The 21,262-nt window shown below is 58.2% G+C and overlaps 1 long non-coding RNA gene and 3 pseudogenes across 3 annotated transcripts, besides 19 other annotated features; 3 read left to right on the top strand and 1 right to left on the bottom strand.

Moving 5' to 3' along the window:
• Positions 647-709: a non allelic homologous recombination region, noted in NCBI's record as "sub-region 4, recombines with sub-region 4' within the proximal SMS-REP block C recombination region". NCBI's record gives the evidence for it as "EXISTENCE:nucleotide sequencing assay evidence [ECO:0000219][PMID:14639526]" and "EXISTENCE:restriction fragment detection evidence [ECO:0001124][PMID:14639526]".
• Positions 647-8,484: a biological region, named in NCBI's record as "distal SMS-REP block C recombination region". NCBI's record gives its function as "recombination_partner: LOC106020710".
• KRT17P4 (keratin 17 pseudogene 4) lies at positions 976-4,128 on the top strand (annotated as a pseudogene).
• Positions 1,750-3,984: a non allelic homologous recombination region, noted in NCBI's record as "sub-region 3, recombines with sub-region 3' within the proximal SMS-REP block C recombination region". NCBI's record gives the evidence for it as "EXISTENCE:nucleotide sequencing assay evidence [ECO:0000219][PMID:14639526]" and "EXISTENCE:restriction fragment detection evidence [ECO:0001124][PMID:14639526]".
• Positions 2,379-3,473: a meiotic recombination region, noted in NCBI's record as "meiotic double-strand break mapped by DNA meiotic recombinase 1 chromatin immunoprecipitation followed by single-stranded DNA enrichment and sequencing in the germ cells of some male individuals with PRDM9 A/A and PRDM9 A/C genotypes". NCBI's record gives the evidence for it as "EXISTENCE:chromatin immunoprecipitation-seq evidence [ECO:0000229][PMID:25395542]".
• Positions 2,633-2,645: a nucleotide motif, noted in NCBI's record as "nucleotide motif; similarity to the predicted 13-mer PRDM9 A binding motif (LD hotspot motif), CCNCCNTNNCCNC".
• Positions 2,917-2,932: a nucleotide motif, noted in NCBI's record as "nucleotide motif; similarity to the predicted 16-mer PRDM9 C-type binding motif, CCNCNNTNNNCNTNNC".
• Positions 4,827-5,691: an enhancer, noted in NCBI's record as "H3K27ac-H3K4me1 hESC enhancer chr17:16749151-16750015 (GRCh37/hg19 assembly coordinates)". NCBI's record gives its function as "activates a minimal SCP1, AML or CMV promoter by ChIP-STARR-seq in primed H9 embryonic stem cells {active_cell/tissue: H9 hESC(primed)}" and the evidence as "EXISTENCE:reporter gene assay evidence [ECO:0000049][PMID:30033119]".
• Positions 4,968-6,202: a meiotic recombination region, noted in NCBI's record as "meiotic double-strand break mapped by DNA meiotic recombinase 1 chromatin immunoprecipitation followed by single-stranded DNA enrichment and sequencing in the germ cells of some male individuals with PRDM9 A/A, PRDM9 A/B, and PRDM9 A/C genotypes". NCBI's record gives the evidence for it as "EXISTENCE:chromatin immunoprecipitation-seq evidence [ECO:0000229][PMID:25395542]".
• Positions 5,036-6,691: a non allelic homologous recombination region, noted in NCBI's record as "sub-region 2, recombines with sub-region 2' within the proximal SMS-REP block C recombination region". NCBI's record gives the evidence for it as "EXISTENCE:nucleotide sequencing assay evidence [ECO:0000219][PMID:14639526]" and "EXISTENCE:restriction fragment detection evidence [ECO:0001124][PMID:14639526]".
• Positions 5,565-5,580: a nucleotide motif, noted in NCBI's record as "nucleotide motif; similarity to the predicted 16-mer PRDM9 C-type binding motif, CCNCNNTNNNCNTNNC".
• Positions 5,656-10,741, top strand: KRT17P1 (keratin 17 pseudogene 1; annotated as a pseudogene). Its single transcript, NR_146392.1, has 7 exons — positions 5,656-6,147; positions 7,194-7,276; positions 7,708-7,861; positions 8,469-8,630; positions 9,133-9,258; positions 9,345-9,565; positions 9,665-10,741. The product of NR_146392.1 is annotated as a keratin 17 pseudogene 1 (transcript).
• Positions 5,692-6,558: an enhancer, noted in NCBI's record as "H3K27ac-H3K4me1 hESC enhancer chr17:16748284-16749150 (GRCh37/hg19 assembly coordinates)". NCBI's record gives its function as "activates a minimal SCP1, AML or CMV promoter by ChIP-STARR-seq in naive H9 embryonic stem cells {active_cell/tissue: H9 hESC(naive)}" and the evidence as "EXISTENCE:reporter gene assay evidence [ECO:0000049][PMID:30033119]".
• Positions 5,708-5,720: a nucleotide motif, noted in NCBI's record as "nucleotide motif; similarity to the predicted 13-mer PRDM9 A binding motif (LD hotspot motif), CCNCCNTNNCCNC".
• Positions 8,266-8,484: a non allelic homologous recombination region, noted in NCBI's record as "sub-region 1, recombines with sub-region 1' within the proximal SMS-REP block C recombination region". NCBI's record gives the evidence for it as "EXISTENCE:nucleotide sequencing assay evidence [ECO:0000219][PMID:14639526]" and "EXISTENCE:restriction fragment detection evidence [ECO:0001124][PMID:14639526]".
• Positions 10,740-11,289: an enhancer, noted in NCBI's record as "H3K4me1 hESC enhancer chr17:16743553-16744102 (GRCh37/hg19 assembly coordinates)". NCBI's record gives its function as "activates a minimal SCP1, AML or CMV promoter by ChIP-STARR-seq in primed H9 embryonic stem cells {active_cell/tissue: H9 hESC(primed)}" and the evidence as "EXISTENCE:reporter gene assay evidence [ECO:0000049][PMID:30033119]".
• Positions 15,440-15,951: an enhancer, noted in NCBI's record as "OCT4-NANOG-H3K27ac-H3K4me1 hESC enhancer chr17:16738891-16739402 (GRCh37/hg19 assembly coordinates)". NCBI's record gives its function as "activates a minimal SCP1, AML or CMV promoter by ChIP-STARR-seq in primed H9 embryonic stem cells {active_cell/tissue: H9 hESC(primed)}" and the evidence as "EXISTENCE:reporter gene assay evidence [ECO:0000049][PMID:30033119]".
• Positions 15,952-16,464: an enhancer, noted in NCBI's record as "OCT4-NANOG-H3K27ac-H3K4me1 hESC enhancer chr17:16738378-16738890 (GRCh37/hg19 assembly coordinates)". NCBI's record gives its function as "activates a minimal SCP1, AML or CMV promoter by ChIP-STARR-seq in naive and primed H9 embryonic stem cells {active_cell/tissue: H9 hESC(naive and primed)}" and the evidence as "EXISTENCE:reporter gene assay evidence [ECO:0000049][PMID:30033119]".
• Positions 16,210-18,841, bottom strand: LOC105371551 (uncharacterized). The gene is made up of 3 exons (XR_934249.3): positions 18,759-18,841; positions 17,335-17,489; positions 16,210-17,172 (listed from the first exon to the last, which is right to left on the bottom strand). It is a non-coding gene; the product is annotated as an uncharacterized LOC105371551 (long non-coding RNA).
• Positions 16,978-17,490: an enhancer, noted in NCBI's record as "H3K27ac-H3K4me1 hESC enhancer chr17:16737352-16737864 (GRCh37/hg19 assembly coordinates)". NCBI's record gives its function as "activates a minimal SCP1, AML or CMV promoter by ChIP-STARR-seq in naive H9 embryonic stem cells {active_cell/tissue: H9 hESC(naive)}" and the evidence as "EXISTENCE:reporter gene assay evidence [ECO:0000049][PMID:30033119]".
• Positions 18,516-19,028: an enhancer, noted in NCBI's record as "H3K27ac-H3K4me1 hESC enhancer chr17:16735814-16736326 (GRCh37/hg19 assembly coordinates)". NCBI's record gives its function as "activates a minimal SCP1, AML or CMV promoter by ChIP-STARR-seq in naive H9 embryonic stem cells {active_cell/tissue: H9 hESC(naive)}" and the evidence as "EXISTENCE:reporter gene assay evidence [ECO:0000049][PMID:30033119]".
• Positions 18,695-21,045, top strand: KRT16P2 (keratin 16 pseudogene 2; annotated as a pseudogene). The gene is made up of 5 exons (NR_029392.1): positions 18,695-19,307; positions 19,744-19,826; positions 19,964-20,120; positions 20,235-20,395; positions 20,485-21,045. The product of NR_029392.1 is annotated as a keratin 16 pseudogene 2 (transcript).
• Positions 20,240-20,750: an enhancer, noted in NCBI's record as "H3K4me1 hESC enhancer chr17:16734092-16734602 (GRCh37/hg19 assembly coordinates)". NCBI's record gives its function as "activates a minimal SCP1, AML or CMV promoter by ChIP-STARR-seq in naive and primed H9 embryonic stem cells {active_cell/tissue: H9 hESC(naive and primed)}" and the evidence as "EXISTENCE:reporter gene assay evidence [ECO:0000049][PMID:30033119]".
• Positions 21,046-21,262: the final 217 nt, after the last annotated feature.

Here is a 21,262-nt window from a genome sequence, read left to right as displayed (position 1 = left end):
CAGCTCACTGCAGTTAACTAACTAATGAGTAACTCAGTGTAAGAACACACAATGCCAATTATTATAATTAATTATAATAGTGATAGTCATTAAAACAAGGAACTTCTGCCCAGCACTACAAGTGACTCACAGCCATTATCTCAACTGATACAAAAACTGGGAGAAAGATACTCTTTCTTCCTTTTGACCTGTGAAGAAACTGAGGCTCAGAGAGGTTAAGGGATATATCTACGGCTGCACAGGGACCCTCCTTCAGGTCTGTCGGACTCGTATCCACCCCACCTCTCTGCCCCTCTCCTGCCTCTCCTTTCCAGAAGGTTCTAGGTCCCAGGGACTCCAAGGCTGAACCCAAGGATAGAGATCCAAGGTCCTGCCGGGGCGGTCAGGAGGTCTTACATGCCCTGTCCTGTGGCTTCCTTCTCAGCCGAGCTCTGTGCTGCTCTAAGCTGGGGGAGCCTACTCCCCGAGAAGCAGGACACCCGGAAGGTGTTTCCCCCTGGCGTTGAGGCTGGTTATACAATTGCTTTCCTCCAGCAGATTAACATTTGCTAACGGGGCCTGGTGCGGTGACACCAGCGTAAGGTTGCTTTTTGCATGCCTGTGCTTTGGGGTTGGTGGTGGGGGCAAGGCGGTGGTAGGGGCGAGGTCAGGGCAGTGAGTGAGGTCGCCCATGGTCATTCTCTGCCGTGCTGGGGGGTTGTCATCTCTCGGGGCTTAGCACTTGTTGGGGATGGGTGAAGTCCAGTCCCGAGTCACAGTGTGTGTTGGGGGAGGTTGCTGATATTCATAGCCCTGTATGTTTGAGTAATGACAACATCCATCTCCACCTTCAGGGTGAGGAGCTGTTGGCCTATCTGTGTCTGTCTGTCTGTCTGTCTGTCATCCGTACCTGTCTCTCCGAGGGAGAGAAGGCAGGCCCCAGGGTCTTTCCCCAGGATGGCCTTGGGTGAGTTCCTGCTGTCCTCTCTGCCCAGGAAATGAACGCCCTTTGAGGTCAGGTGGACGAGGATGTCAGTGTGAAGATGGACACTGTGCCTGGAGTGAACCTGAGCTGCATCCTGAATGAGATGCGTGACCAGGACAAGAAACTGGTGGAGAAGAGCTGCAAGGATGCCCAGGGCTGGTTCTTCAGCGTGGTGGGTGGCCGTGTGTAAGCAGGTGTGCACACGTGTGGGCACATACGCCGTGTGCTGGTGCAGTTGGAACACCGGCAGATTCACAGGCTGTCCCAGTTGGAAGGACTTTTGGAAACCAGTCGGACCAGCCCTTCATGTCTTCGATGTAAAATGTGAGGCTCAGAGAGGACTCAAGCTCACACAGCCCTTCACTGTGGCCTGCAAAATAGATCCAGTTCTCTGCAAGTCTGGTCTTGGGTTTCCACCACAGCTGTTTACAGGATGTGTGTATTTGAGTACATACACATACCCTTGGCAAGCACAGGCTGAGTGTGTCCGGTGTCCTAGGGACAGCAACAGGTGCAAAAGAATAACACCCAGTGCCTGTCTTTGAGGTGCTGTAGTTCGGTAGGAGTAAGAAATGCAAACGACCGCAGAGTAGGCTGAATTCCTCCAAGGTCCAACGTGGGTGCAGAGGGTCTTTGTGTGCAGGTGCCTTTGGGGCCCCATAGAGGCCAGGGAGGGTTTAGGGGATGGTTCTGGGAGGCGAGGGCTCAGGAACAGCCCCTTTCCTGTGCCCCACTTGTGAAAGTCTCCATAAACCCCTGTGGCCCACTCTGCCTTCCAGAGAGAGAGGCTGAACTGCGAGGTGGCCACCAACACAGAGGCCCTGCAGAGCGGCAGGATGGAGATATGGAGCTCTACATCTCTGTGCAGAACCTGAGCCGTCCCAGCTCAGCAAGGTAGGGCCTCTGTCCCCTCCCCACCCTGTACCTGTCACCCCAGGGTGAGCGCAGCCTTATAGACCCCTGCTTGGAGAACCAGAGTCCCCACCCAGCCTGTCCCTTCACACTCAGTGGCTGGGTGCACTACCACCCAACTGTGCCGGCAGCACCCACAGCTCCATACAGGAGGGGCTCCTCTCTAGTGCTCTGCCATGGGGAAGGGTCCCACGTCCATCTCATCGCACCACCTATCTCTTGGCCCACAGAAAGCATCGCTGGAGGGCAGCCTGGTGGAGACGGAGGTGTGTTACAGGACCCAGCTGGCCCAGCTGCAGGGGCTCATCAGAAGCATGGAACAGCAGCTGTGCGAGCTCTGCTGTGATGCAGAGCACCAGGACCACGAGCACCAGGTCCTTCTGGACGTGAAGACGCGGCTGGAGCAGGAGATCGCCACCTACAGCCGCTTGCTAGAGGTTGAGGACGCCCGGTGAGTGTGCACCCAGGTACCTGCTGGGGCGGGCTGGGGGCCCACTTCACCCAGGGAGAAGTTGGTGTCTGAGCACCAGCAAAGTTCAGGAGGTGTGAATGTGGGAACCTGTGGGGTTTGCAGGAGGTGAAACTGACGATGCAGGCTGGAGTCTGACTGAGGAGCCTTGACTGCCAAGTTAAAGCGTCTGGACTAGATCACGTAGGCAATGGGGAGCCATGGAGGGATTTGGAGCAGAAGAGGGGAATGAACATCAAGATATTTTAGAACATTCACTCTGGCTACAGAGGGAGAAATGGATCAGAGGGGTCAGGGTGGGGCCAGAGAGACGCGTCAGGGGGCTAGAGCAGGGAGTCTGGCCAGAGAAGTCTTGCGGGGTGGAGGCTGGGTGGGGGGGCAGGGGAAGGAAGGTGGTGCACGCAGAAGAGAGGTTATAGCTCAAAACAGCAGGACTGGATGCCTGGATCTCAGGGTAAGCGTGGCTCACGGTCAGGACTCAGTAAGCGTTGGGTGAACACATATGAAGGAGTGGGCATTGATGGCCCTGGGTTTCTGGTTCCGATGACTGTGTGAGTCCATCAGCCACAGGGTGAAGAGCATGGTGGGTGGTGGTCGGGTTTGCAGTTGGGAAGGGTGATCAGGCCTTCAGCTGAGTGTGTCCTGGAGTCTCCATGCTTAGTCACACGTTGCAGCTTTTTGCTCCCCGAAAATGGTGAAGTCCATCTATAGTCTAACAACAGTCTCTCCTGCTTTAATTGGGTCTATTGGTTGGGTCCTCTGGGACATGGAAAAACCACTTGCTCAGCTTCTCCTTGTAAATTCCTGGTGAGTGCCTCCAGGCCTACTGCTGTGCTGTTTCTTTTTCTTCTTCCTGCTGCACTGAACCCCTGCCCTTTCATTCTTGGGCCTGTGCTAATTTCTGTGCATTCCCAACTGTGATTTTTCACCAATTTAGGGGAACCTCCTCTGCCAGGGCCTGCTTCTCCCCAGCAGTGCTTACAGGGGCCTGGGCTGGCTGGCATCCCTGGGTCGATGGGTGCTCCTCTCCCTGCAGGCTGGCCACTCAGTACTCCTTGTCCCTGGCCTCGCAGCCCACCCGGGAAGGTAAGAAGCTGCCCTGTCCTGCTGTGTGGACCCCAAGGCGGGGGAGAGGCTGAGGACCCTTCTGTGTGGGAGACTGGGGGGACCACAGACTCAGGGGCAGGTGGGGGGAAGAGCTCCTGCCTGATGTTCCCTGTGCCTCCCTCCTCCATCGCCTGCAGCCACGGTGACCAGCCACCAGGTGTGCCATCGTGGAGGAAGTCCAGGTTGGAGAGGTGGTCTTCTGTAAGCAGGTCCATCTCTCCACCCACTGAGGCCCCTTTCTGCCTGTGACAGCCCCACCTCGAGGGTCACGGCACAGCCATCAGCTCCAGCTCCCAGCATGCTACTGCCACGCCCCGAGTGTCCGTCTGGGCACTGGTCCATGACCTGTTGTCTTTCTGTATCTACTTTCTGCAGCCCCTCACTGAGGAGGCCTCCTGGGTTTGTCCAGTGCCTGCTATTAAAGCTTTGCTCCAAGTTCAATGCCTCGTGTGATCTGGTCTGTTCATTGGTTTGGGGCAGTGTGGGCTGAGGGACTGGGATAGGTGGAGAGTTTATTGAGTGTTTGGGTATCGGCTTGTCACCTGCCAATCTGTTCTGCCCACTCCATCCAGGCCTGGGGCTCCTGGAAAGACCAGAGGGGAGGAGGAAGGATTAAGGGTGGAGGGAAGGGACAGCCCCTTGTATTGGGAAAAGTTTCTAAGAATCAGCCCCTGAGTCCCTGTCAACCTGTGGCTGGTCCCTGGGAGGGCCACACAGACTTTCCAAGGACCACACCTGTTGGGGAGCACTCCCTGCCTCAGCCCAGGGCGGGTTCAAGAGCAGAAGGAGAGGGGCTCGGTGGGGAGGGGCTTCTGAAGGAGTGGTCCAGGGCACTGATGAGTGAGGGGGTGAGAGCGAGGCAGCTAGCCCAGGAAAGCAGACCGGCTCTGCCCAGCTCGGGGTGTGTGTGGGGCAGGGTGGCCGCTGTGCGTGTACGCATGGGGGGTGTCCTGTTTGCTTTGGTGGCTTGGCAGCCACTGGGCTATTGAGGAATCTCTCTCCGCTGCTGGTGGGGCTACCTGGGCCTGTCTGGGAAGTGGAAACCATTGGCAGTCTGAAACATGACCACCTTCCACCCAGCGGGCCTGGCGGGACCCTGGGATCCAGGGCGGGGCTTGGGGTGGTGGGCAGGGCAGGGTGGGGCTGTGGAGTGGGGCACTTGGCCCGCCCAAGGAGCCACATCTTGGGGAGCCTGGAGTGGGGAGGGGGCTGGCTGGCTGGGGTCTCTGTAAGAGCCTCTTCTTGGGCAATGTCCTTTAGGTTTCCTGTGGGCTGAGACCTGAGAGAAATGCCCCTCCCCTGACCCTGAGGTCTCTTGGGGTACAGAAGGGTGAGAGGAGTGGAAGGGGGCATTCCCCTCTCAGTTGGTTTAGATCCTCTCTTAGCACGGCCCACCTTTCCCCCATCCTATAGCTGAGCCCCTGTTTGCCCACCCCAGCCTGGAGTGTAAACCTGGGGAAAGGTTTACACGAGGAGACTGGGTTAGCAAGGGCTTCTAGGGATGGGGCAGGGTCAGAAGCTGACTGGATGGAACTGTAGCCCCTAGAGTGCATTCCTGGGTGTCAGACTCTGCAGAAGGGGCCACTGCACCCCTCTGGAGCCCCAATTTCTTTATCTGCGATGTGGGTTGGTCTCCGAGCCTTGATGGCATTTCTATGCTGTGAGGTGGGCCTGGTGGGTTTGGGCTCAGTTTCCAAGGCAGGATAGGCTCTCGGTCCCCTCTTTCTCTTCAGCACCCAGCCCCGGGCCAGCACCTTGGGTGGAGCAGTGTGGGGTGAAAGACAGCAACTTCAGGGGGGTGGTCACCTGACACTGCAACCCATTTCCCCACCAGACAGGGTTGAGGTGGGCCGGGCTGGGGTGGTGGCTGCCTGGGAGGGCCTGGGGACGGTGAAGTCCTGTATTCTCCTCTTCTCCATATTAGGTCATGGGAAAGCATAGCTGGAGGGCCCGCCCAAATCACAGGTGACGGGCCTCAGAGCAGTGGCACGCACACGCGTGGCACCCAGCACGAGGATTTGGAGAAATGAGGCAAATTCCTGATGATGGGTGGGGAGGGGGTCCCCAGCCACCTGGGAGCTGGCAGGTGGCCCGTGGTGATGAAAGCCCAGGGGAAGGGAAACAGAGGAGCCTGTTGTAATCGCTACGCCCACTTGGTGGCCTATAAAGGAAGCCTGTGAACCCCGGCAGCCCTACACTACTTGGGGCCCCTCTTCTTTCCAGCCCTTCTCCTGTGTGCCTGCCTCCTGCCGCCGCCACCATGACCACCTCCATCCGCCAGTTCACCTCCTCCAGCTCCATCAAGGGCTCCTCTGGCCTGGGGGGCGGCTCGTCCCGCACCTCCTGCCAGCTGTCTGGCGGCCTGGGTGCCGGCTCCTGCAGGCCGGGATCTGCTGGTGGCCTGGGCAGCGCCCTCGGGGGTAGCAGCTACTCCAGCTGCTACAGCTTTGGCTCTGGCGGTGGCTATGGCAGCAGCAGCTTTGAGGGCGTTGATGGGCTGCTGGTCGGAGGTGAGAAGGCCACCATGCAGAACCTCAATGACCGCCTGGCCTCCTACCTGGACAAGGTGCGTGCCCTGGAGGAGGCCGACACTGAGCTGGAGGTAAAGATCCGTGACTGGTACCAGAGGCAGGCCCCGGGGCCCGCCCGTGACTACAGCCAGTACTACAGGATAATCGAGGAGCTGCAGAACAAGGTAGGGCCTGCTGGTGGGAGGGGTCTCCAGGGGGCATCACTTCTTCCCCCCAACTCCTGCCCTGGCCAAAGGCCTGGAGTCCAGCCATAGGGTCTCGGGGAGCCAAGGGTGGTTTGGCTGTGGCTTAGCTTCTGGGAACCTGCCTTGGGGCCCCTGTGTGGCCCACATCCCCCTTTTCTGGGGGCAGTAGGCTGAGTCAGGAACAAACAGGCCTCGTGGAGCCCCTTGGAGACTCAGTTTCTCCCTCGTGGAGCTCCTCCACCTGGAGAGGTTGTAGGATGAGGCAGGAGGATGCAGATGGAGGGCTGGGCCCATGGGCCACTGGATGCGTGGTGTCTTGCTCCTTTGGAGCAGGGGTCAGCAGGAAGGGGTTTTGGGAGTTGTGGAGTGGGGGTGTCTGAGTGAGCTCCCGATAGCACCTGCTGCGGGTGGGAGGCAGAAAGGAGGGGGTGGGACCTCAGGGTGGGGAAGGCCTCTGATGTGCCTTATTTGGGGATTTTTCTGGCTTCTCCTTTCCTCCTGCTGTCCCTTAAGACAGGCTCAACAAACCGCAGGGGGCGGGGCTGCTGGCTGGAGCCCAGGGTTAGGGATTAGGAAGGGTCCTGACTTCTGATTTGGGACCACTCTTTGGTGAGGGCTCCTTTAGCCTCCTTTTGGGGGAGCCTGTCAGGGGCACCCTCTAGCTGACTGTAAAACGAGGGGGTTGCCCACATCCCCTCCCTTGTTCTAGAATTCTGGGACAGTTTCTGCCCTGGGGACATTTTCCCTTTCTTTTCTGGTTGTCTCATACTCCCAGCCAGCTGCCTCCTCTCCTTTAAGGCTGAGCCTGGCATGGGGGTCTGGTGGGGTACTGAGTAGCGGGGGAAGAAGAGGCACCTTTGAACCCTTCAGACTCCTGCTTGCCCCTCCTCTGCCAATAATACAGCACGGGGCAAGGGAGGGGCTGGGCGGGAAGAGAGGCCCCCAGGCAGGAAGATCTGTTCAGAACTCTGGTGTGGGCTCAGCCACCCCCATCCGATGACCTGACTACTCTCCCATCTCCGCAGATCCTCACAGCCACCGTGGACAATGCCAACATCCTGCTACATATTGACAATGCCCATCTGGCTGCTGCTGACTTCCGCACCAAGTGAGTCCTAGCTGTGGGCTTGGGCAGCCTGGGTCAGCTGGGGGAGGATCTCAGGGTACCCCTCCTGACCCCAGGACTCCTTGGTTGCTTGTGGCAAGGCCCAGGAGCTCAGGGTGGGGCAGTCCTAGGAGCCCCACTACTTAGTCCAGGATGCAGTGAAGGCAGCCAGTTGTGAAGGTTGCTGGGCTTAGGCAGGGAATAGAAGAGAGGGAGGGGAGGCGGGAGGCAGAGAGAAGTAAGGAAGCTGGTGGGCGTAGGATCTGGCCCTGTGATGGTCCCAAGGCCCCGGGGCTGGAATTCGTTTCCACTCGACCCTCTCATCAGCCCTTCCAACCCCTTAGAGTCCTGGCAAAATGAAGGCAGGTGAGCAGCCAGGACCTGGACCTGCAATTCCAAGCAGCCTGGGCTGAAGTCCCTGATTCCCATGGCAGGTTTGAGACAGAGCAGGCCCTGTGCCTGAGTGTGGAGGCCGACATCAATGGCCCGTGCAGGGTGCTGGATGAGCTGACCCTGGCCAGAGCCGACCTGGAGATGCACATTGAGAACCTCAAGGAGGAGCTGGCCTACCTGAAGAAGAACCACGAGGTGAGGTGGCTGGGGCAGAAGGTCAAAGATGCTGAGGAGTGGGTGGCAGAGCCCTGGGGCTGGGCCATGGCTGAGGCCGTGGGAGAGAGCAGAGCAGGCGCACTGGGATTAGTCACCTTAGAGGGCTTCCCTGTCTGCGGAGCCCTGATCCTTGGGGTCCAGCGTGCAGGGCAGACTCCTCTTTGTACCACACTGCTTCTCTGTACCCAAGGAACCTCCCAGGGGCCCGCAGAGGCTCCCTCTACCTGCCCTGGCCTCCCTCACGAGGGCAGGGGATAAGTAAGGAAGTCTCCTTCTTGTCCCATTTCAAACTCTCAAAGCTGAACATCTACACAGAAGCTTGGAAATTAGAGGGGAAATTTTTGGGGCATAGGCCTAATAATTAGATTTTATTTTGGAGAGCCGTTGGTCTAATGGGGGAGATAGAGTCTGATGGTGGAGGCAATACTGAGCAGATGAATAAAAATCATTTAGAGGGTCAGATAGAGCAGAGGAAGAACAAAGGAGGGGTCCTTGTGGGGAGTGGGGTCACCTCGTGGGGGAAGGCTTGGGAGTGAGAGATCAGGATGGGTCCAGATGCGCACATCCACATCCCCTTTTTCCATAGGAGATGAACGCCCCGCGAGGCCAGGTGGGCGGTGAGATCAATGTGGAGATGGGCGCTGCCCCAGGTGTGGACCTGAGCCGCATCCTGAATGAGATGCGTGAGCAGTATGAGAAGATGGCAGAGAAGAACCGCAAGGATGCCGAGGATTGGTTCTTCAGCAAGGTGGGGGCTGCTGCAGGCCAGAGGTCTCTCTTCGGGGCTGGGGCTCAGGGGCCTTAGCACTGACAGTAAGCCCACGGCCAGGTGTCTTGGAGATGCTCCCTCCTCAGAAAGCTGCATGGACCACAGGGTCACCCACTGCATCAAGAGACCTGGAGCTGAGCTCAAGCTGGGATCTGGGGGGTGGGTGGGGAGGTAGGGAGCCCCCACAGAATAAAGGCAGAGGGTAAAGATCTTGGGAGTCCCCACCTCTCTCTCAAGAAGTCAGAAACTAGCACCAAGAGCCAGGCTAATGTTCTGGCTGGTTCTCAAGTTTCCGGTCTGTGCCTCCCACACGCAGGGATTAACCATAAAAAGTTAACATTTCAAATGGCATGTTTCTGGGCTTTGGGACGTGGGAAGCTGGTGAGAACGCATCACTCTGTCCACAGTTAGATTTGGGAGGAGGCCTGACTGAGGAGAGGGATCCAGGCTCACACAACCCTGTCCTGTGTTCTGTCTGCAGACAGAGGAGCTGAACCGCGAGGTGGCTACCAACAGTGAGCTGGTCCAGAGCGGCAAGAGCGAGATTTCGGAGCTCCGGTGCACCATGCAGGCCTTGGAGATCGAGCTGCAGTCCCAGCTCAGCATGGTAGGAACAGTCCTGTGCATGGGGATGGGCCCAGAAGAGGACACTGACAACCCTCACTGACCCCTGGTCTTCCTGCCCTCCTGCAGAAAGCATCCCTGGAGGGCAACCTGGCGGAGACAGAGAACCGCTACTGCATGCAGCTGTCCCAGATCCAGGGGCTGATCGGCAGTGTGGAGGAGCGGCTGGCCCAGCTTCTCTGCGAGATGGAGCAGCAGAACCAGGAGTACAAGATCCTCCTGGACATGAAGATGCGGCTGGAGCTGGAGATCACCACCTACCACCGCCTGCTGGAGGGCGAGGATGCCCAGTGAGTGGGGGAGCCTGGGGTCAGGGCTGGGGGCCTCTTGGCGGGGGGGGGCTCTCAGACTCACATCTAATTTCCTCTCTGTTTTTTTTTTTCTTTCAGCCTGACTCAGTACAAGAAAGAACATAAGCATCTTGGTGGCTGAGGCCTTGGGGATTGGGTGCAAGGGACAGGCAGCCCACCTGCACGTTGCTGGGGCTGAGTCCCCAGGAGTTCTAGGAGTTGATGGCTGTCCCTCAGCAGGGGTGGGAGAAGTGACCCATTAGCACTGAGGATTGATACTCAGGAAAAGATCAAATGAGAGAGATGCTGTCTGCTCTGATGGGGTGGGCCAGGGAACTGGTCCTTACCTTGGAGATCCTAGTCTGATGGAGGAGACATGTCCCAGCTCTGGAGATTGTCATCTGATGGGAAGATAGGAACATGGTCTCATGATCTTTGCTCTTGACAGCTTTCGGATGAGCGAAAGCAGTCCTGTCTCTGGGGTCTCTAGCCTGATGGGAAATAGGGACCTGGTCCTTGTCCTCCAAATTCCAGTCTGATGGAGAAGATATGATTCTAGCCCCAGGGTTCCTAGTCTAATGGAGGAGATAGGGGCCTGGTTTTTGTCTTGGCGATCCCAGTCTGATGGGGGAGATGGGAGCAAATCTATGTCCTGGAGACTGCAGAGAAATGGAGATGGATTTCATGGAGTCTACATGGCTCCTCCCTGGCAGGACACACTGGGTCAGAATCAAATAACCCATCTGCGGAGGCAAGACTCACACAGGGCCACCGGCAGAGGGATGGGATGGAAGGGAGGCGGTGGCAGGGACAGGAGGGATGTGTGTGCAGTGTGATGTTGAGGTGCCAGTGGAGGCACTCACAGCACCTGGGGGAGGACGAGGGAGAGAGCCGGCTCCTGTCCATGAGGGCTAGGGGGCAAGCGAGGGCCTCCTGGCCCCTACCCACTTTAAATTGCCTGCTTCTCCTGCAGCGGTGACCACCTGTCAGGTGCCTACCATTGTGGAAGAGGTCCAGGATGGTAAGGTCATCTCCTCCCGCGAGCAGGTCCGCCAGACCACCCGCTGAGCACTCAGCTTTCCTGGCCGGCCCCCCAGGAGGCAGGGAGGCAGCGGTCCCATCTGCCCCGCGGTCTCCGGCCTCTCCACCCTCAGCCCCCTGCTTCAGTCCCTTCCCCATGCTTCCCTGCGTGATGACAATAAAGCTCGTTGACTCAGCTATGAAATGTGTCCTTGTTCTGGCCGCTGAAGTGGGCACTGGGGACAAAAGGGTGAAATGGGAAGGAGTGAGGGTGAGGGGAGATGGTGCGTGGAGACCCCGTTGTTGACTGGCAGGTCAGAGGTCAGCTTAGACCAGCATAAAGAGTAAGTCTGGGGAGAGTTTGGAGGGGGGTGCTCGCATCTCCCAAGGGCTGGAGATTTTCAGGGGGTGGTCCAGGCTGCGCTAGACCCGGGGTGGAGGCGGTGTATCAGGTGTGGTCCTAGGTCGCCACTGCTTGCCCCGTGAGTAACTCTGTGACCTCGGGAAGTTAGGCAGTCACTTCCCCTGACTGAGCCTTGCTTTTCCATCCGTAAATGGATGGGAAGATCTCAGGTGTGGGAGCCCGAATCCTCAGAGATGACTCACTCAATCAGTTGCTCCTTCCTGTCCTGTGGGCTGTGCCCTCCCCCTAGATGGGGCAGGAGGTGGGCAAGGGCTGGGATAAGCACAAAGGGAGGGTGGGTGGGGGAGGCAGGCTGGGTGATTGGGGCCCCGACTCCTGTGTGAGTCTCAGGAAATCCCCAAGAGGGGCTCCCATTGCCTCTGCCCTGGGAATGTGAGCGGGAGGGTGGTGTTTTCAGGGAAGGCTGCGGACCCCAGGCAGGTATGGGAGAAAGGGTGGGGCCTCTCTCAAGGATGTTTCCTCACATGGTCAGCTGTTGCTCAGGATGCGGACAGGGCAGAGTGGGGGGCACTGCAGATGGGGTGGCTGTGCCCAGGGAGCAGTGCCACTCTCCCTGGCGGTCTGGATCCTCTTTGGTTCCCCACTAGGGACAGGGGTGGTGTGAGGGAGGGTAGAAACTGCCTCCTAGGAAAATGAGAAGGAACAGTCCTGCTCCAGCCACTCCCGGCACCCTCTATGAGCTGACCAACCCCAGCTCTTGCTGGTGGCAGCAAACGTGGCTGTGGGGAGCAGTCTGTGGGAGGTGAGCCTGACACCTGGAAATCTTCCTTGTAGTAAATCTGGAAACTGCCAGGTGGGTTGGCCTGCTTTCCTGGTTTTCTTCAAGCAGGGGGTTAGTGGGAGGAGGGTGCCGCCACGTCATCACTGCTGCACCTGTGGTGTCTCTGCTGCTGCGGAATCAGACCAAGGCCCCCAAACACCCTCTCTCTCCTGGTGCCTGGAGGCTGGGGGTGGGGCCCAGGTCCGAGGAGAATGGGAGTGACCAGAGCCCTCTGAGCCTGGGTTGGTGGGGGTTTGGGACTGGCAGAGGCCAGGGATGGGGGTGGGTACTGACCACTGGGGTATGGGTGACTTTGGGCTGGTCACAAGCCCTCCCTGGACCTTGGAGCTATGACATCCCGGGAGAGTGTTTCTCTCTGCAGGGTAGATGGCTGCCTGGAGTCGGGGACTTGCACCTGCAGCGGCATCTGCACGACTCAAAGCAAGGGCAAGCTCTGCTCCGTTGGAGGCTGACGTCTCCCTGCTCTCTGGCAGCAAATGTGGGGCCATGGAGGGCAGGAGGGAGGCACTGTTTGCACCAGGCCCCCACCATACACCCCGCCACAACCAGAAGAACAGCCCTGGGCTGCAGATGGCTCATTCTGGAGGGTGACTTCATTTGTCTGAATAGTCCCCGGAAGCAGGGAGGGTCTAGGGGAAGGCGCCTTGTTGTGTGGATGGGGACACTGAGGCTCCAAGGAGCAGTGACTCAGCCCTTGTCCCACAGCCTGAGGGGTCAGTAGTGGAGACGGGCATGGGAGGGGAGTGGGCCCCGCTTCCGTGCTGGGAAGAGGAGCCAAGCCCCAGCTCCTCCCCCACCTCAGGCTCCAGGCAGGGCTATCTCTCCCTCCTGTAGAGCCTGGGGTCCACAATTACTGATGGCGTGAGTGAGGAGGGGTCAGAGTGTGGGAAGGACCAGAGACAGCCCCAGACTGTGCCCCTCTGCTGGGGAAGAAGCCCTTCTCCACAAAGTGAGTGGGTGGGAGGCTCAGGAGGCCAGAATGGGGGAGCCCCCCGGTGTGCCCAGAGAGCTGAGCCAGTAGAGGCAGTGGTTGCCAGGGGCTGGTGGGGAGACTTGAGTGACTTTGTCCAAGGACCCCAAGTGGGCCCAGGATGCTGGGGACATGTGCCTGGGCTGGATTGGGGACCCAGCTATGGGACTCAAGGAGGGACTCACAGTTCGTCCACACACTCCCTGCCCACTGCACAGAATGTCCTCAAGGCAGAAGCTGCGGATCTGTGGTTGCCCTGTAGAGCTGCCACACCTGGTCTCGTGTGATGGACACACATATAGGACTCTCAGGCCAGGCCCATGCCAGTGGTAGCTGCCTCCGGACCCCCCTTGCAGGGGTTGACCTGGCAGCATGTCTTCTACGGAGACGGATGTGGTGGGGGACACTCATCCATGGCATGACATCGCTCTGCGTCTGGTTTGCACTGAGTCCAGGGAAAGGAGGAGACACCGGTCCTGACCCCAAGAGACAGTGCCTGCCCCAAGGGGACCTGAGGGACTGACAACAGTCCCTCAGCCCTTATGCAGTGTGGGTCTATTGCGGCAACCAAGGTTTTGGGGAGATGAGGGGAACAGAGGGAGCAGAGCCAGGCAGGTCTCCCCACATGCACAGAGCCGAGGGGATAACTGAGCTTAACAGAGACCCGTCCTCACCCTGAGCTGTAGTGACCATTTGAAGAAACATCCCTGAGAGAGGCCCACTCTTTCTCCCACAACCCCCTGGGGTCTGCAGCCTTCCCTGGAGGCACCAGCTTCCCGCTCACACTCCTGGGGTGGGGGCAATGGGAGCCCCTCTTGGGGGTTTCCTGAGACTCATACAGGAGTCCGGGCCCCTTGTTTGTGCAGAACAGGCACCCCAAGTGGGTCCAGGCTGCTGAGGACATGTGCCTGGGCTGGACTGGGGACCCAGCTATGGGACTCATGGAAGGACTCACAGTTCGTCCACAGCCACCCTGCCCACTGCACAGAATGTTTCACCCCGTCATCAAGGCAGAAGCTGCAGATCTGTGGTTGGATTGTGAAGGGCTATGACAGCCCCACCTTCAGAAGGGGGGCGTCAAACTTGCAGGAGGGGAGAGGACCCCCGATGGTGGGCCTGGCACTCACAGATTTCCCCAGATCCCTGGAGCCATCACAGGGGCAGAGCCTGGGCCTGGACATTCGTTCTCCCCCAGGAACCCTGCTCCCTCTGTTTCTCTGCAGGGCCCCAGCACCCCATCGTGGCCTGACTTTAGTGTATTAGGATTGTCTTTACCACCTTCTCCCCCAGAAGACTATGTCTCCAGGGCTTCTCTGTCTTGTTCTTTGAGTCTGAGTGCCCAGCACAGTGCCAGGCACACAGTAGGTGCTTTATAAACACCTGCTCATAAACATAACGCTAGCCACCAGCCTTTGCCAGGTGCTTTATTTATTTGGCCTCAAATCCCCTAATATGCCTGTGACACAGGGCTGTTATTCCCATTTCCCAGACAAGGAAACTGAGGCTCAGAGAGGCTGAATATCCTGCCCAAGGTTTCGCCCCTGCTTGCCCCGATTCCAGGCTGCTCTGTCCTGGCTCAGTGGGGCTCTACTTTTCCTTCCTCCTGCCCTGAAGCCTGTGGCTCTGGCTTGTCCACCCAGGGCTGGGGGCCCTGCAGCAGCCCCCTCTCTCCCCTCAGCTTCTCTGCCCCACTCCTCAGCCCCCTAAGCTGCCTCCTGCCTTCCCAGTCTGAGTTGGCTGGGGAGCTTGTAAAACAGCCCCACCAGCAGGCTTGTCCTGAGTGGTGCTGATGCAGGAGTTGGAGCAGGGCTGCGAATCTTCTTGGGGACTCTGATGATCTGTCTGGTTGGAGAATCACTGCAAGCCAAGGCATGGCATTGGCCAATGGTGATTCCCGGCCTCCTCAGGTATGCTATGATCTCCTGCCTCATGCTTGACATGGGCAGGACGAAGGAGGGAGGAAGGAGGCAGGGTGCGGGGAGGAATCCTCTGCCTGGAGGATGCCCATTGGGCTTCTCTATGCTCACCAGGCTTAGTGGTCCTGGCTCTTGGCCACCTTGGGGCAGGTGTGCATCACTGATGCAGAGGAAACGCCTCCTCCTCCTCTGTCAACTCAGATCCTCTGAGGCCCTGCTGGTGCCTCCCTCTGCTGGGACCCTTTCAGGGATCAAGGCCAGGAGGGCAGCCCCCTCCTCTACTGCTGAGGCTCAGCGGGGTAATGCTTACCCCAGCTGCCTCCTGTGGTGTGGGCGTGGCAGGCAAGCCCAGTACCCTAGGGTTTCTAGCCAGGTTCTGCATTTTCCAGCGTTAGTTTTCCCTCCAGGGTCAAATGATAAGTTCTTCTAAGGTCAGAGACTATGTCATCATTTCCCTCTTCACCCCCAGCCCCCGAGAGCTGTGCACACGGCAGGTGCGTGATCTATGGAGTTGGCTGAGCAGTTTGGCGCGTTGGTCAGCAACTTCCTGCAGCTTCTCAGCCCACGCAGATCCTCAGGTCTGCAGTGCTGGGCTTGTGTATAATCCCACCCTGACACCTCCTGGAATGGGGAACTTGGCGGGGGGCAGTGAGCCAATGAGAAAGGGGTGTGTGTGCACGCACACACGGTGGGGGCAGAGAGTGAAGAGTTCTCGGAGACTCCACTGTGAGAGTCGGTGTGAATCCTGGCTTGGGAGTTGGAGCTGGCTCCGGTCTGTGCTCTCTCACTTTTGTGCTGCTTAACCTGGATAAGGCTTTCGCCCTCTCCGGTTGGGGTATTGATAGGCTTTGGTGACCTTGAAGACCATTTTCAGTTCTGAGGGTGATGGGTCTGTGGTTGGACTGGAACTCCAGGCCCACCCTGACACCTGAACGCTGAGGTTTTTGTCCAAGATTCCGGGGTCCCCTTTGTCCCTCTTTGGGGTGGGGGTGGGTGTGGGGAAGAGAAAGAGAGATCAGTGTCTCTTTCTATACGGACTGTGTCTATATAGAAAGAAGTAGACATGAGAGACTCCATTTTGTTCTGTACTAAGAAAAATTCTTCTGCCTTGAGATGCTGTTAATCTGTAACCCTACCCCAACCCTGTGCTCGCAGAAACATGCCCTGTGTCGACTCAAGGTTTAATGGATTTAGGGCTATGCAGGATGTGCTTTGTTAAACAAATGCTTGAAGGCAGCTAGCTTGTTAAAAGTCATCACCACTCCCTAATCTCAAGTACCCAGGGACACAAAACACTGCGGAAGGAAGGCCGCAGGGACCTCTGCCTAGGAAAGCCAGGTTTCTCCCCATGTGATAGTCTGAAATATGGCCTCATGGGAAGTGAAAGACCTGACCGTCCCCCAGCCCGACACCCGTAAAGGGTCTGTGCTGAGGAGGATTAGTAAAAGAGGAAGGCCTCTTTGCAGTTGAGATAAGAGGAAGGCATCTGTCTCCTGCTCATCCCTGGGCAATGGAATGTCTCGGTGTAAAACCCGATTGTATATTCCATCTACTGAGATAGGAGAAAACCGCCTTAGGGCTGGAGGTGAGACATGCTGGCGGTAACACTGCTCTTTAATGCACCGAGATGTTTATGTATGTGCACATCAAAGCACAGCACCTTTTCCTTAACCTTGTTTATGACACAGAGACATTTGTTCACATTTTCCTGCTGGCCCTCTCCCCACTATTACCCTATTGTCCTGCCACATCCCCCTCTGGGAGATGGTAGAGATGGTAGAGATAATGATCAATAAATACTGAGGGAACTCGGAGACTGGGGCCAGCGTGGGTCCTCTGTATGCTGAGCGCCAGTCCCCTGGGCCCATTTTTCTTTCTCTATACTTTGTCTCTGTGTCTCTTTCTTTTCTCAGTCTCTCATCCCACCCCACGAGAAACACCCACAGTTGTGGAGGGGCAGGCCACCCCTTCAGGTGGGGAGTGTCGGGTTCCCTCTCTGAGGTTTGGCTCTGAATGCATGTGCATCCATTCTGCTCTTACCTCTGATCCCAGAGTGACCAGGGGAGATGTAGCAGCGACAAAACCCTGGTTCTGCTGAGACAAGGAATTGCCTGCCCCAGTGGAGCCCAGGCAGAGGCAGGCTGTCTCTGGGCTCCTCACCTCAACAGAGGCACTGCAGAGCAAGGCCAGTGGCCAGCACCAAGGGATGCCCCACGGCACCCTGAGGAGGCCCCGTCTTGGTGCCCAGATCCCTCCTCCTCCCTCCAGTCCTCGGTGCTGCACCAGCCTCTCAGGCCAAGGCCACGCCCACCCTGGGCAGACCTCATGCCAGTGATCGTGGGGAGGTGGGTGAGAGTTGGGTATACTGGCCTCACCTGCAGGCATGGTGGGAGCCTGGAGAGGGCTGAGGTCTGGGTTCTAGTTGCAGCTCTGCAGCTTAAAGCAGAGTGACTTTGAGTGAATCTCCACCTGTCTCTGGTTACCCCTCTGTCCCCTCTGATCAAGAAAATGATATAAATTTGAGATGCACAGAGAGAGGGCTCAGGATGACAGAACAGGCTTAGGCAAGGAGAACAGGCAGGCAGGTTCACATCTCAGCTTCCAGTGCCTGGTGTCTTGGGAAGCCCACTTATCCTCCCTGGATCCCAGCTCCCTCACCTGAGGACTGGTGGCAGGAATAACGCCCCCGTCATCCCTGCTCACAGAACCGTACAACACACACCAGGCTCTCCATGCGTGCCTGAGTGGGCCCATGACCGGTGCTCTCCCCCAGCTCAGCTGGATGAATGGAGCTGCCAGGCCCAGCGTGGGATCTGTGGACACAGGAGAGAGAACTGCTGGGAACGGATCCCCAGCCAGTCCTGTTTCTACAGGGTAGGGGGGAACTCTGAGGCCCACGGCGGGGTCAGGGGTCACACCTGGCTGCAGTGGCAGGACGGGGCTCCCTCCCACCGGCCTGCAGGTAGGGTGCCTGTGATTAGGAGAGGGCGGTAGAGGAGTGGAGGAGCTAGGTGTGGGGCTGTGGTGTTCTTCAGCTGGGAGTGTGGGGGACGCAGGGCCCCGCGTAGCGGTTCGGGAGGGTGCCAGTGTGTAGAGGTGAGTGTGAGGAGCAGGTGGCTGGAGGGGGAGGATGAGGAGGATGAGGGGCAGGGCTGGCCCTTGGGGAAGGGCCGGTGGGGTGCTTCGCGCATGTTTCTTTGTGGCTAGTGGTGTGTCATCCCCTTTTACAGATGAGAAAACTGAGGACCAAGGGGCTGTAAGACCAGCCTGTGCTGTACAGCTGGTAAGGGCAGAGCAGGGACTCAGTGCCGCCTGTCTGGCTCCATGGCCAGTGCTGTTTGTATGGTGCACACACTTCTGGAGATCCCGGGGGCTCAAGGCAGCCTCCGGAACTGGAATTAGATCCAAGAGGGGAAAGAGAGTCATAGGATTTTTAGAACCAGAAGGGACTCTGCAATCACCCAGTCCAGCCTGGTCACCACTGAGGGGAAACAGGCCCAGAGGTGGGAGGTGGGGAGCCTCAGGCCACACAGCAAGCAGAGTGAAGACACGAACTCTGCCCCTGCCCAGAGTGGGACATGTAGGATCCCCGCAACTGCTCCCCAAGACAGCCCAGGATGGCATCACTGAGGTCTCTTTCAGCCAAGGCTGTCACTGTGGGGCAGGGAGTTCTTCTGAAGGGCTGACTCACTGCCTGGGGACGCAGTTGCCACAAAGCCACCTGTGCCAAGGCCCCACTGGCCCCAAGTGCTCCAGGAACGGGAGCCTGATTCCCGGCCACCTAGCCTGAGTCACCACCGACTCGCATTTGTGTGTTTTTCTCTCAGCTCCACACTCTCAAAGCTGGGTGGGAACTCTGAGCCAGCACACAGCGGAGTTGATCCTGGGCTGAATAATCCAGAGTGAGGAGTTGGACGGGACTGGGAGTGATGAAATCCAGAGGGGAACCTGGAGTCAGCAGTTAGGAGGGCCCCGCCTTCCCCAGGTGCATATAAAGGTCTCTGGGGTTGGAGGCAGCCACAGCATGCTCTTAGCCTTCCTGAGCACCTTCCCTTTTTTCAGCCAACTGCTCGCTCGCTCACCTCCCTCCTTGGCACGATGAGCACCTGCAGCCACCAGTTCACCTCCTCCAGATCCATGAAGGGCTCCTGCAGCATCGGGGGCAGCATCAGGGGCGGCTCCAGCCGCATCTCCTCTGTCCTGGCCGGAGGGTCCTGCCATGCCCCCAGCACCTACGGGGGGGCCTGTGTGTCTCCTTCTCTCGCTTCTCCTTTGGGGGAGCCTGCGGGCTGGGGGGCGGCTATGGCGGTGGCTTCGGCAGCAGCAGCAGCTTTGCTAGTGGCTTTGGGGGAGGATATGGTGGTGGCCTTGGTGCTGGCGTCGGTGGTGGCTTGGGTGCTGGCTTGGGTGGTGGCTTTGCTGGTGGTGATGGGCTTCTGGTGGGCAGTGAGAAGGTGACCATGCAGCACCTCAGTGACCGCCTGGCCTCCTACCTGGACAAGGTGCGTGCTCTGGAGGAGGCCAACGCCGACCTGGAAGTGAAGATCCGTGACTGGTACCAGAGGCAGCGGCCCAGTGAGATCAAAGACTGCAGTCCCTACTTCAAGACCATCGAGGACCTGAGGCACAAGGTAGGTGACTTTGGTGTATGGAGCACTGAGAGAGGCTGGGGCTATAGTGGCCCTCGGGATACCTCTTTTTAGCAATTACACTTTACAAACAGGGAGACTGGGCACCTTTGGGGAGTGGCCAGGATCATCCAGGGAAGTGGTGGCAGAGGGTCCCTTTTCAGCATCTCTGTGCCCGGACTGGGGCTGTTACCCTGAATCTCTTATTTCCTGCAAGGGTTCAGCTGCAAGTTCCGCTTCCCTGCCTTGGGCCCAGGAAGGGGGTGATCGGGATGGAGTGCATCCCTGCATACCCTGAGCTGGTGGAGAAGGCATGCCAGCCCTGCCAGCCAGAAGACTTCCAGATTTGGGGAGGTTCCTTTTGCCCCTTTCTGCCTTTCACGCTCAAGTAGTAAGGTCCTTGCCTGACCAGGGCTCCTGTTCTCCATTCCCACTCCAGATCATTGCGGCCACCATTGAGAATGCGCAGCCCATTTTGCAGATTGACAATGCCAGGCTGGCAGCTGATGACTTCAGGACCAAGTGAGCAGCCAGCATGGTGGGCTGGGGGCAGAGGGCAAGGGACATAGAGTGGAGCTGTCCACCCAGCAGGGCCAGCAGACCCCGAGCCTCAGAATCCTCAGGGCTGCAGCCTAAGGACCTGACCTCTGTCCTGCCAGTTACGAGCATGAGCTGGCCCTGCGGCAGACTGTGGAGGCTGGCGTCAATGGCCTGTGCCGGGTGTTGGATGAGCTGACCCTGGCCAGGACTGACCTGGAGATGCAGATGGAAGGCCTGAAGGAGGAGCTGGCCTACCTGAGGAAGAACCACGAGGAGGTGTGGTTGCTGCTGGCTTCCGGGATGGGAGGCTGGTTTGGTGGGGTTGCCAGATGCACCCAGGGCCAGGAGAGGAGTCTGCTGAGCTGACCGCCTCCTGCCATCCCTTCCCAGGAGATGCTTGCTCTGCGAGGTCAGACCGGTGGAGAAGTGAACGTGGAGATGGATGCCGCACCTGGCGTGGACCTGAGCTGCATCCTGAATGAGATGCGCAACCAGTACGAGCAGATGGCAAAGCACAACCACAGAGATGCTGGGCCTGGTTCCTGAGCAAGGTGGGGCTCGGGCCCTCAGTGGGCCTGCAGCACTTCCCAGCTGGGGGCTTTGGGAGAGCCTCACCTTTCACTCTGCTTTCCCGTCTCAGACCAAGGAGCTGAACAAAAAAGTGGCCTCCAGCAGTGAACTGGTACAGAGCAGCCGCAGTGAGGTGACGTTGCTCCAGAGGGTGTTCCAGGGCCTGGAGATGGAGCTGCAGTCCCAGCTTAGCATAGTATGAAGGACCCGGCACAGCAGCAGCCCCCAGGTCACCAGTAATGGCCACCACCCCCTCAACAAGCCGCAATTTAGTTCCACCTTTCTTTTCTCAGGGTGGGACCAGAGGACTCATGGGACCTGTTATATAGATAGAGAAACTAACCCTAGAATAGTGGGCTAGCATTTCTCTATATTGTCTGGCCCATCAGTACCCCAACTGGGATCAAAATCCAGGCACCTCTCAAAAAACATGCCCAGAGACCTGGAGGGACAGGAGTGACCACCTCCATTGACTCTTTTTCTCTCTCTCACTTGCAGAAAGCGTCCCTGGAGAACAGCCTGGAGGAGACCAAAGGCTGCTACTGCATGCAGCCGTCCCAGATCCAGGGACTGATTGGCAGTGTGGAGGAGCAGCTGGCCCAGCTATGCTGTGAGATGGAGCAGCAGAGCCGGGAGTACCAGATCTTGCTGGACATGAAGACACGGCTGGAGCAGGAGATCGCCACCTACCGCCGCCTGCTGGAGGGCGAGGACGCCCAGTGAGTCCCAGGCCCCTCAGTTCTGCCTCCCAGACCCTTTAGCCCCCCTGCTGCTCTCAGCACAACTGACTGCCCTGCCTTTTCTCACCCACAGCCTTTCCTCCCCACACGCATCTGGCCAATCCTGTT

The sequence above is a fragment of the Homo sapiens genome, chromosome 17 (genome assembly GCF_000001405.40).
Source record: "Homo sapiens chromosome 17, GRCh38.p14 Primary Assembly".
NCBI lineage: Eukaryota > Metazoa > Chordata > Mammalia > Primates > Hominidae > Homo > Homo sapiens.
Note: the sequence above shows the minus strand (reverse complement) of the source record. Positions and strands in the feature narration are given on the sequence as shown.